The sequence below is a fragment of the Homo sapiens genome, chromosome 3, assembly GCF_000001405.40.
Source record: "Homo sapiens chromosome 3, GRCh38.p14 Primary Assembly".
NCBI classification, from domain to species: Eukaryota; Metazoa; Chordata; class Mammalia; order Primates; family Hominidae; genus Homo; species Homo sapiens.
This window is the reverse complement of record NC_000003.12, coordinates 21,210,384-21,222,458: the sequence shown is the minus strand read 5'-3', so window position 1 is coordinate 21,222,458 and position 12,075 is coordinate 21,210,384. Positions and strand designations below refer to the sequence as shown.

Below are 12,075 nucleotides of genomic sequence, written 5' to 3'. Positions count from 1 at the left end.
CAAGGCTAAATTCTGAGATTAAGAAGGAAAGGAAAAAAGTTTCAAAATGCATTTTGAAGCTAAGCTCCTCAGTAACAATTCCAGTAAGTATAAAAGCAATGAGAAAGAATGGTGCCTCTGATGAATGGTGCTCCAGGTCAAGAACATCCTCCACAATAAAGCTGTCTGCTGAAGTCAGAGGGAACTGAAAGCATCCACAAGGCCAACCAGAGACCCCATCAGATTGGCAGTCATTGGAGAAACACTCAAGCACTCAAGATTGCTGATTTTCACAGCTTTGAAGGTGACTTAGCTTCTCATATGTAATAAGCCTAAACGAATAGGCCCTCTTGTGACCAGTCTGTGTGGGTTGGTGGAGTGTCAGAGTGTCAGAGACACTCCGTAACAAAGAACTGAAAGGAAGTCACCACAGGCTTAAGGAGTACAGAAAATGCTTTTCAGCCCCTGGGAAGCTTATAATTGGAGCTTGAAAAACAGAAGCTTTGTGATGACCAGGCTGGGATATAATTCCTAGAAATGGGAAGTCTTTTGGAAGCAAGGGCTTCAAAAGAAGGTAAAGAGGCCATGTGATAGATGATATTAATCATGACAAATGGCCTTTGTCACAAGGGAATAAAGGACTCGACAACTATCTGCACATGTGTCTCTAAAGTCACATGAAGCTTATATGTGTCATTTCTAAATACCTTTTTATTCATTTTTTCAAAAGATATTTATTGAGAAGTTATAATAAACCTAGTTAAAGTACTGAAAACTATGAGAGATATAAAGTAATCAAGGTCAACTTCAGAAGAAATAAAACCTTCTTTTCCTAATGTTTGACAGAATCCTAACGTATGCCTTAACTTTGTTCTTGAAAGAAGTATCACAAATAAAATTTAAACTTGACTGGGACAAAATGTAGGCTTTCAATTATGTATTTTGGCGGAGAATATTACCTTTACTTCAATTACCCCAAGAAATATTTGCGCCCTCCCAAAAGTTAGTTATAAACTGGAAAATTTAAACATGATGTGAATTATTTTTTCAATAAAAAAAAAATTTCCTGAATTTTTCTGACCTTGCTTCTCTCTGATTCTGAACAAACTTTTTTCGAAAACATTTAACTGAGTACCTAGTACATACCTGGTGAAAATAATGAAAACTGTGTGAGATGCAGAGTGATGTAATCTCTACTCCAGAAGCGAAACATAATTTGTATTTTTAAGGCCTTGATTTCTTCTCCCTTATATTTAGAAAGCACTATTATAGCTTAAAATGCTTTAATGCATAATCATCATTATTATATTATCATTTATGAGGACTTAGTATATACCAGACCCTGTCCTAATGAATTTATGTACATTACTTTTCTAAATACACACAACCATTCCTTCAGTAGTTACTATTATTATCCCCAATTTTCTGATACAATGTTTTTAAAAGCTGAGATCCAGAAAAGGATTAAAGCAGCACAACACTGTAGGCAAGAGAGGTAATGCAGTCCTGTTTTCATCCTATCTCAGCTTCCAGGAATTACTGATGTATTTAGCCAGTTAAGATAAATCATGAAATTGATGCTTGTTCACTTGGGAACTTTTCCAGTCCTTAAAGGCTAAAAGAGGTCCTGTCTGGCTAAGAGTAAGCTTTTATTAACATGAAAACATGTATTAAAGATGAAAATCACTGCTTAACTATTGGCTTAACTATCGTGGTTGCCAGCCATTGGTTTTGTGAGCTCACTCAGGACATTCTAGTCACTCATCTAATACTTAGTGGAGGATTACTCATTCATTTATACAGATAGCCCATAGAATCAAATATATTTAAGCCATAACCTTCTTGAGATCTAAACTATGTTAGCTTCTAGGTACACAAACTCAAGTCACTTATGATTCATTTCTACATATATTTAAACAACTAAAATTGTGCTCACTCTTTCGATAAATATTGAATTATTGCTTTGTACCACGCAGTCTACTATGTGTTGGGACTTTAGTGATAAATTAGATAAAATTTCTCTTCAAGAAGAGAGAATTTTAGAAAATGAAAACAGGAAAGCCAAAGACCCTGAAGCAGAAATAAGCTTTATGTGAAACAAAACAAAACAAAAAGGATGTGAACGTGGAAGCAGGGAGATGAGTTAGGAGGTGGTTATAGTTAATACAGAGAAACACTTAGTGGCTTCAACTGTAGCGAGAGAAATAGTGAGATTTGAACATATTTTTCTTCCTTTTTTTTTTTTTTTTTTTTTTTTTTGAGATGGAGTCTTGCTCTGTCGCCCAGGCTGGAGTGCAGTGGCGCGGATCTCGGCTCACTGCAAGCTCCGCCTCCTGGGTTCATGCCATTCTCCTGCCCCAGCCTCCTGAGTAGCTGGGGCTACAGGCGCCCGCCACCACGCCTGGCTAATTTTTTGTATTTTTAGTAGAGACGGGGTTTCACCATGTTAGCCAGGATGGTCTCGATCTCCTGACCTCGTGATCCACCCACCTCGGCCTCCCAAAGTGCTGGGATTACAGGCGTGAGCCACCGCGCCCGGCCTTGAACATATTTTTCAAATTTAAAACTAATGTGATTGGCTGATGATATGAATGTAAAGGTAACTCCTGGGTTTTTAGGAGCTTGGCAGAAGCTGTTGTCATTTGTTAATAGAAGAAACAGGCTTCCTATGGGATAAAATAAATCAATAGTTCTCTGTGAGCCATATTAAGTATGAGATGCCCGTGACAGTAGAAATGTCACACAGGCTGTTGGATATATTAGCCTAGTGCTCAAGAATCAAGTCAGGGCTGAAATGTGCTACATGCTGAAGACACAGCATAAGTATGGTCTCTGATCTCAAGGGCCCTCCAATCCAATGTGCTTTGTTGGAAATGATCTTGGCTGTTGGAAACCAAGATCTTGTTTCTTTCTCCACTAGTTACTTATCTTTATAAGGGCAGGGATCTTATTTTACACATCTCTGAAGCTCCATTGTTTAACATAGAAGATGCTTATTATATTTTTGTTAAGGTGGGCTGCATATAATCAATCCAAATAGAGAACCACTGGACTGAGACATTAATAAATGTATAGACAGGAAAAACATGATATGAGGTATGGCTTCTTCTCTTCAGGAGCTTAAACTTGAGATGATTCAGTAGAATACTGGAATTTGAGAGATTATATAATGAATGCCAAATATATATAAATAAAAGACTTCTAGGAGATAAGTGGAGAGGAAGATATTTGAAGTCTGTAGAGGTCAGGAAAAGCTTCATGGAGTCATAAGTCTAGATTTGATTTTGGGGGGATAGGTAGGAATCAGAGGATTGTTGAGAAATTTGCATGATGACATGTACCAAATCATATTCTCACAAAGGTAGACAGTGTAGGATATCAATTTGAATAAAAAAATTGGAACTGGTTGAGCAAGGCTATACAATATTAAATAAATATTTAGAATTTATCATGTATAGACCACTTGGTTGGGGGCTTTTCAAGGTTTGTGCAATGAGAACTAAGAATATACCAACTCATTATCTCAACTTTCATAGAAGAAACCTTAATGATGAAATAGAAGAGTAGAAGTTGTCAAAATGCCAGGAATCAAGTCGCCTTACAAAATGATCCTCACACTCAAAGAGCTCTACTGTAGGTATATCACTTCCCTCACTGCCAGAAAGACCATCATTAAAGGATCATTCCTGCAAGCCTAGAGAGCACATTTGTCTTTCATCTAGAATCTATACTCTAATGTATTTTGCTCTAATACTTTATGGGATATATACTGATGGTTGTAAAATATTCAGCTTAAGATGGCTAAGTAGAATTCTAAGTTTGAGAAGAAACTTAAAAAAGGTCACCAAGAAACTACACAGCTCCATTTTGCTCCAGGATCAATTTATTGTCCTTCCCTCTGAGTTTTATAAACATGTTCTCTCACAATCAAAGAGCAAATTTCCTTTTGAAAATACTATATACTATCTGAATAGTGTTCACATTATATTTTAAAAAGAAACCTTTTTTATCACTTCATTTGTTTCTAAAGTATTTGTTAAAAGAGTGGAAAACAAATAATAGATTTCTTCCTGAAGCATAAAAAAACCTAACTGTCCCTGAACAGTGACCATCCATATCAGAATACTGGATGCTGTTCCTTTTCCCTTGACTAAGAATTCTGTCTATTTTCCTGTCACTGTCTGGCTTTTGCTTCCACATCTCCCTCCCTAGTGTCTTGCAGCATCATTTTAAAATATTCACTAAGGGAACTTGCTGACTCTGCTCTTCACACCTGAAATGTCAGAGCTAAAACAGAGAGCTTTTGAAATGCAACTGGAGGCACAAGACAAATTGAGTGCTGGCCACCTCTTGTCCTCTAAAGCCATCCATTCTACATGTCCCACAGCCTCCACACTATTAACTCCTCAAGTTCTAGACTGGTGTCAAAAATGCCTAGCTGGCTAATCAAGAGCTCACTTAAAAAGGATAAAGATTTGGGGAGTTGGTGAGCTAAGTAAGGAGCCCCATCTAATGAGAACAATGGAAGAAGTATCAATTTTCACTGGTTGCTTTCACTGAGGCTTGGCAAGTTCACAGACTATTTTAGCTGTGCTGGGTTATGTTATGGGGTTGCTGACCACCTTTGGAACATTGGTACAAGTATAGTCTTTCTTCCATTCAATTTAGCAAAGATAGACATTTGTTATGTGATTTTTTTTCTTATTTATAGTACAAGTCCCACTTTTATTTTCCCCTAGTACTCTGCAATCAAGCCTTTCTGAGTGTTGTCACACTAGATTTTAGGTGTTTGTTCATATGCTTGTATTCTTTACTAGACTAGAAACTCCATAAGGGCAGGAACTGGGTTGTGTTTGCTTACCATTTGTACCTAGCAATAAATATATGGGCTAACATGCATTCAGTGAAAGTAGTCATTGCTGGAAGCATGAAAGAATGAACGTCAACGTCATCACAACCACAAAGGTGAATAAGGGCCCATCTCTGTTTCTACATGGCATTTAGTCTAGTTGAGCAGACAGCCACTCAAAAACATATTCTGACATTTTATTAGAAGCTTTTACCCTCCTTCCATTTTTTGAGTTTGGAGTTTTGATTTTAACTAAGGGATCCCTATGCAAGTATACATATTTTCTTACACAGCTGCCTTTCCTGGTCATTAATGTATTTTCTTGCTTAAAAATTACTTGCTTTCAAGTGATGACAGCGAGATGGCTGAAAGGAAGCCCTAAGCCCATGTTACCCTGTGGAGACACTGACTTAATATACAGACCAAATTGCCTTTATGAAAACTCCAGAAACCAGTTAAGAGGTTGCAGCCGCCGAGAAGAGGACAAAGCCACAAAGAACTGCAAAGAAATGGGCATGAAAGTTTGTTGCATTTGCTTACCCTACCCCCTTTCCTCTACGCCCCCACCCCCACTACAGCATAGTACAATCTAGACAAAACTCCTAAGTCCTAGCTTCTCTCTTGGAAGTGAAAAAGAAGAGTAGAACATGTGCTAAACATTCTGGTTTTTCAAGGGGCATCCTGAAAGATTGTTTCCTGTATTGCTGGACTTGGAGCACTGAATGAAACAGTGCTGTACATTGGATGCCAAGTTGGGGACTGCTGAACACAAAGGTGAGCACTGTGTCTTGTAATGGTACCAGAGAGACTACAGTACTGCAGAGAGACACCAGGAGGAGCAAGAGATTACAGAGTGTTTAGAAGAGACCGAGACAAACCTTTTTTTAACTGGGAAAGCTATACTCAAACAATCCTAGAGAAAATGTGTCTCTAGAAAAGTCTCCAGAACCTGTAGCCAGGCTGGTTGGTGAATGCCTTCTCCTTACAAACCCATTCCTTAATGATTGAGAGAGTTGGCTATTTTTTCAAATGCCCAAATCTCAACTAAATATAACAAGGCATACAAAGAAACAGAAAAACATAGTGCAATCAAAGGGGCAAAGTACATCTTCAAAAAGGAACCCTAAAGACATAAAGACTATAAATTTCCTAACAAAGAATTCAAAATAACCATTTTAAAGATGCTCAATGAGCTAAAAGAGAATAAAGATGGACAATATACATCTGGAAAATTATTCACAAATAAAATGAGAAATCAACAAATAAGTAGAAACTATAAAAATAAGTGAATAGACATTCTGGAGCTGGAGAATATCATAAATGAATTAAAACATATACTAAAAGGATTTGACAGCAGACTTCATTAAGCAGAAGAATCATCCATCTTGAAGACAGGTCATTTGAAATTATCAAGTCAGAGGGAAAAAAAGTTAATAATAATTTTATAAAGTAAAAAGAACCTAACAGACTTATGGATCACTGTCAAACAGACCAAATATGCATTATAGGAATTCCAGGAGGAGAGAGAAAGGAACAAAGATTGGTGTGAAGAAACAATAGGCAAAAGCTTCTTGAATGTAAGAAAGAAAATGGATATACAAATTAAAGAAACTCAATAAACTCCAACTAAGAGATGCAAAGAAACCTACACTGCAACACATAATAATCAAATTGTCAACAGTCATAGGCAAAGATAGAATCTTTAAAACAGTAAGAGAAAAGAGGCTCATTATACATGGGAGCTCCTATAAGACTGTCAGAGGATTCTCAGCAAGAACTTCACAGATTAGAAGACAGTGGGATGATATATTTATATCGGGAAGTGCTGAAAGAAAAAGCTGCCAATCAAAAATACTATATTTATTAAAACTGTCGTTAAAAAATAAAAATAAAACTTTTCTAAAGAAAAGCTGAGGGAGTTCATCACCACTGGGCTTTCCCTAAAAATGTTTAAGAGAGTCCTTCATGTTTAAATGAAAAGATGCTATACGACAACATAAAAACATAGAAAAATGTATACCTCTCTGGTAAAGGTAAATATATAGACAAATACACAGTCCTATAGTCTTATAGTGGTGATTTAGAAATTATTTAAGTTATGGTATAGAATTTAAAAGCTGGAAGCATTCCCCTTGAAAATCAGCACAAGACAAATTTATCCTCTCACACCACTCCTATTTATCCTAGTGTTGGAAGTTCTGGCCAGCACAATCAGGCAAGAGAAAGAAATAAAGGGTATTTAAGTAGGAAGAGAGAAAGTCAAACTATCTTTGTTTGCAGATGACATGAATCTATATCTAGAAAAGCCCATCCTCTCAGCCCAAAAGATTCTTAAGCAACTTCAGCAAAGTCTCAGGATACAAAATCAATGTGCAAAAATCGCTAACATTCCTATACAGCAACAACAGGCAAGCAGAGAGCCAAATCATGAATGAACTCCCATTCACAATTACTACAAAGAGAATAAAATACCTAGGAATACAGCTAACAAGGGCAGTGAAGGACCTCTTCAAGAACAACTACAAACCACTGCTCAAATAAATCAGAGATGACACATACAAATGAAAAAACATTCTACGTTCATGGATAGAAAGAATCAACATCATGAAAATGGTCATAATGCCCAAAGCAATTTGTAGATTCAGTGCTATTCCCATTAAATTACCATTAACATTCTTCACGGAATTGGAAATTATTTTTAAATTCATATAGGACCAAAAAGAGCCCGAATAGACAAGGCAATCCTAAGAAAAAGGGAAAAAAGCTGGAGACATCATGGTATCTGACTTCAAACTATACTACAGGGCCACGGTAACCAAAACAGCATGGTACTGGTGTAAGAACAGACACACAGACTGATGGAACAGAATAGAGAACCCAGAAATAAGACTGCCCACCTACAACCATCTGCTCTTTGACAAACTTGACACATATAAGCAATGGGGAAAGGATTTATTATTTTATAAATGGTGCTGGTTGGCTGGGTGAGGTAGCTCATGCCTGTAATCCCAGCACTTTGGGAGGCTGAGGTGGGTGGATCATGAGGTCAGGAGTTCGAGACCAGCCTGGCCAACATGGTGAAACCCTGTCTCTACTAAAAATACAAAAATTATCTGGGCGTGATGGCTTGTGCCTATAATCCCAGCTACTCTGGAGGCTGAGGCAGGAGAATCTCTTGAACTTCGGAGGCGGAGGTTGCAGTGAGCCTAGACAGCACCATTGCACTCCAGTCTGGGCAACAGAGCAAGACTCCATCTCAAAATAAATAAATAAATAAATAAAATAAAAATGGTGCTGGGAGAACCGGCTAGCCATATACAGAAAATGAAAACTGGAGTCCTTCCTTACACTATACAAAAATCAACTCAAGATGGATTAAAGATTTAAATGTAAAACCCCAAACTATAAAAACCCTAGAAGAAAAGCTAGGCAATACCATTCAGGACATAGGCAAGGGCAAAGATTTTATGAAAAAGATGCCAAAAGCAATTGCAACAAAAGCAAAAATTGACAAACGTGATCTAATTAAACTAAAGAGCTTCTGCACAGCAAAAAAACTCCAAACAAACAAACAAAAAAAACTATCAACAGAGAAAACAGACAATCCCCAGAATAGAAGAAAAAAAAATTGCAATCTATATGTCTGGCAAAATTCTAATACCCAGCATCTACAAAGAACTTAAATTTTCAAGAAAAAAACAACCCCATTAAAAAGTGGGCAAAGTACATGAACAGACACTTTTCTTTTTTTTTTTTTGAGACGAAGTCTCACTTTTGTCCCTTAGGCTGGAGTGCAATGGCACAATCTTGGCTCACTGCAAGCTCTGTTTCCCGGGTTCAAGCAATTCTCCTGCCTCAGCCTCCTGAGTAGCTGGGATTACAGGCACTTGCCATCACACCTGGTTAATTTTTGCATTTTTAGTAGAGACAAGGTTTCACCATGTTGGCCAGGCTGGTCTCGAACTCCTGATCTCAGGTGATTCACCCACCTTAGCCTTCCAAAGTGCTGGGATTATAGGCATGAGCCACCGTGCCTGGCCCACTTCTTTTTTTTTAATTATACTTTAAGTTCTGGGGTACATGTGCAGAATGTGCAGGTTTGTTACACAGGTATACACGTGCCATGGTGATTTGCTGCACCCATCAACCCATCATTAGGTATTTCTCCTAATGCTATCCCACCCCTAAGCCCCCACCCCCCAACAGGCCCTGGTGTATGATGTTTCCCTCCCTGTGTCCATGTGTTCTCATGAACAGACACTTCTCAAAAGAAGACATACATGCGGCAAACAATCATATGAAAAAAAAGCTCAACATCAATGATCATTAGAGAAATGCAAATCAAAACCACAATGATATACTATCTCACACCAGTCAGAATGGCTACTATAAAAAGTAAAAACAAACAAACAAATAAAAAATACTGGCAAGGTTGTGGAGAGAAAAGAACACTTTTACATTGTTGGTGGGAGTGTAAAGTAGTTCAACCATTGTGGAAGACAGTGTGGAAATTCCCCCAAAGACCTAGAGGCAGAAATACCATTTGACCCAATAATCCCATTACTGGGTATATACTCAAAGGAATATAAATAATTCTACTATAAAGACACATGCACATGTATGTTCATTGCAGGACTATTCACAATAGCAAAGATATGAAATCAACCTAAAATGCCCATCAATGATAGACTGGATTAAAAAAAGTGATAGATATACACCATGGAATACCATGCAGCCATAAACAGGAACAAGATCATGTCCTTTGCAGGGTCATGGTTGGAACTGGAGTCCATTATCCTTAGTAAATTAACACTGGAACAGAAAACCAAATGGAGCTAAGTGATGAGAATATATGGACACATGGCTGGGGGAGCAACACACACTGTGGCCTGTCAGAGACTAGGGGGTAGAAGAGAGAGCATCAGGAAGAATAGCCAGTGGATGCTGGGCTTAATACCTGACTGATGGGCTGATCTGTGTAGCAAACCACCATGGCACATGTTTACCTATGTAATATACCTGCATATCCTGCACATGTACCCCTGAACTTAAAAGTTGGAAATGTTTAAAAAAGAGAAAAGCACAAAATATAACTAAATCTATGTTCATTGATACACAATATAAAAAGGTGCAATATTTGACATCAGTAACATAACTTTGGGGGGAGTAGAAATGTAAAGGAATAGAGTTTTTGCATATGATTGGATTTAAGTTCTTGTCAGTTTAAAATAGATTGATATAACTTTAAGATGTTTTATGTAATCCTCATGGTGACCAAAGGCAAAATACCTGTGGAAGATATACACAAAAAAGTGAAAGGAATCAAATATGTTGCTACAAAAAAAAAAAAAAAAAAAAAAAAATCAGCGAAACACAGATGAAGGCAATAACAGAAAAAAAAGAGAAACAAAATATCTATGAGACATACAAAAAATATGACAATAGTAAGTTCTAACTGTAAATGGATTAAACTCCCCAATCAAAAGACATAGATTGACTGAATGAATAAGGAAACCAGATCTAACTATATTCTGTCTACAAGAGACTCACTTTAGATATAAGGGCATACGTGAGCTGAAAGATATAGAATAAAAATATATTTTGTGTAACAAAAGAAATCAGGGGCAGTTATACTATATTAGACAAAATATACTTGAAGCAAAAAATTGTCACAAGAGACAAATAAAGACATTATATAATCATAAAATGGTCAATTCATTAGGAAGACGTAATAATTATAAATGCATATGATGTACCTAACATAAGAGCTCCCAAATATATGAAACAAACATTGACAAAACAGAAGGTAGAAATAGACAGCAACACAATAACAGTAGGAGACTTCAATATCTGACTTTTAATAATAGATAGAACAAGTAGATAGAAAACCTATGAGGAAACAGCAGACTTGGATAACACTATATACAAATTGGAACATACATACACACACATACACAGACACACACACACACAGAATACTGCAACCAACAAAAGCAGTAAACACATTCTTCTGAAGCACAGATTAAACTTTCTTCAGGATAGATTATATTAGGTCACAAAACAAATCTGAAATTTTAGAAGATTAAAATCATACAAGGTATCTACTCTGACCACAATGGAATGAAACTAAAAAGTTATAACAGGAGTAAAACAAACGAACAAAAAATCCACATATATGTGGAAATTAAACAACATGATCTTAAACAAACAATTGGTCAAAGAAAAATCACAAGAGAAATTAGAAACCATCTCAAGAAAAATGAAAAAAACACAACATAATAAAATAAGTGGGATGCAGCAAAAGTAGGACAAGTTGAGCATCCTTAATCTGAAAATCCAAAATTTAAAATGTGCTAAAATCAGAACGTTTTGAATGCTGGCATGACACTCAAAAGAAATGCTCTTTGGAATATTTCATATTTCAGAATGTCAGATTAGAGATGCTCAACCAGCAAGCATAATACGAATATTCCAAAATCTGAAAAAAATCCAAAATTTGAAACTCTTCTGGTCCTAAGCATTTTAGATAAGGGATACTCAACCTGTACCAAAAAGGAAGTTTATGGTAGCAAATCTTACCTTCAAATAGAAGAAAGGTTGCAAATCAGCAACTCAATTTTATACCACGAGGAACTACAACAAGAGAAAACGAAACCAACAATTAGCAAAAGGAAGGAAATAATAAAAGGTTAGAACAGAAATAAATGAAATAGAAAGTAAAAAACAGAACAAATTTAAAAAACTAAGAGTTCTTTTTTAAAAAGGAGCAACAAAATTTACAAACCCTTAGATTAACTGAGAAAAAAACAAAAAGGACAACCCAAATAACTAAAATTAGAAATGAAAAAGGAGACATTACATCTGATGCCACAGAAATAAAAAGGATTGTAAGAGACTACTATGAACAATTATGCATTAACAAATTATATAACTAGAAGAAATGGATAAATTCCTAGAAATACACAACCTACCAAGGGAAATATGAAGAAACAAAAAATCTGAACAAACCTATAACTAGTGAGGAGGTTAAACAGTAATCAAAATCATCCCAACAAAGAAAAGCCCAGTACCAAATGGCTTCACTGCTGTTAGTCTACCAAACATTTAAATAAGAATTAATGCTAATCTTCCTCAAACTCTTCCAAAGCTTGAGGAAGAGGGAACACCTCCAAACTCAATGTATGAGGGCAGCATTATCCTGATACCAAAGCTAAAGATACTGCAAAAAAAAGAAAACTACAGAGTAA

General features: G+C 36.4%; 1 long non-coding RNA gene across 1 annotated transcript in view; it reads right to left on the bottom strand.

Annotated features, from left to right (window-relative positions):
• Positions 1–894: 894 nt before the first annotated feature.
• Positions 895–12,075, bottom strand: part of LOC105376988 (uncharacterized) — a 52,487-nt gene continuing 41,306 nt past the window's right edge. Inside the window, exons 3-4 of the long non-coding RNA XR_940646.3 lie at positions 11,408–11,461; positions 895–1,225 (exon numbers count right to left, since the gene is read on the bottom strand). This is a non-coding gene — a long non-coding RNA (uncharacterized LOC105376988). The remainder of the gene's footprint in view (positions 1,226–11,407; positions 11,462–12,075) is intronic.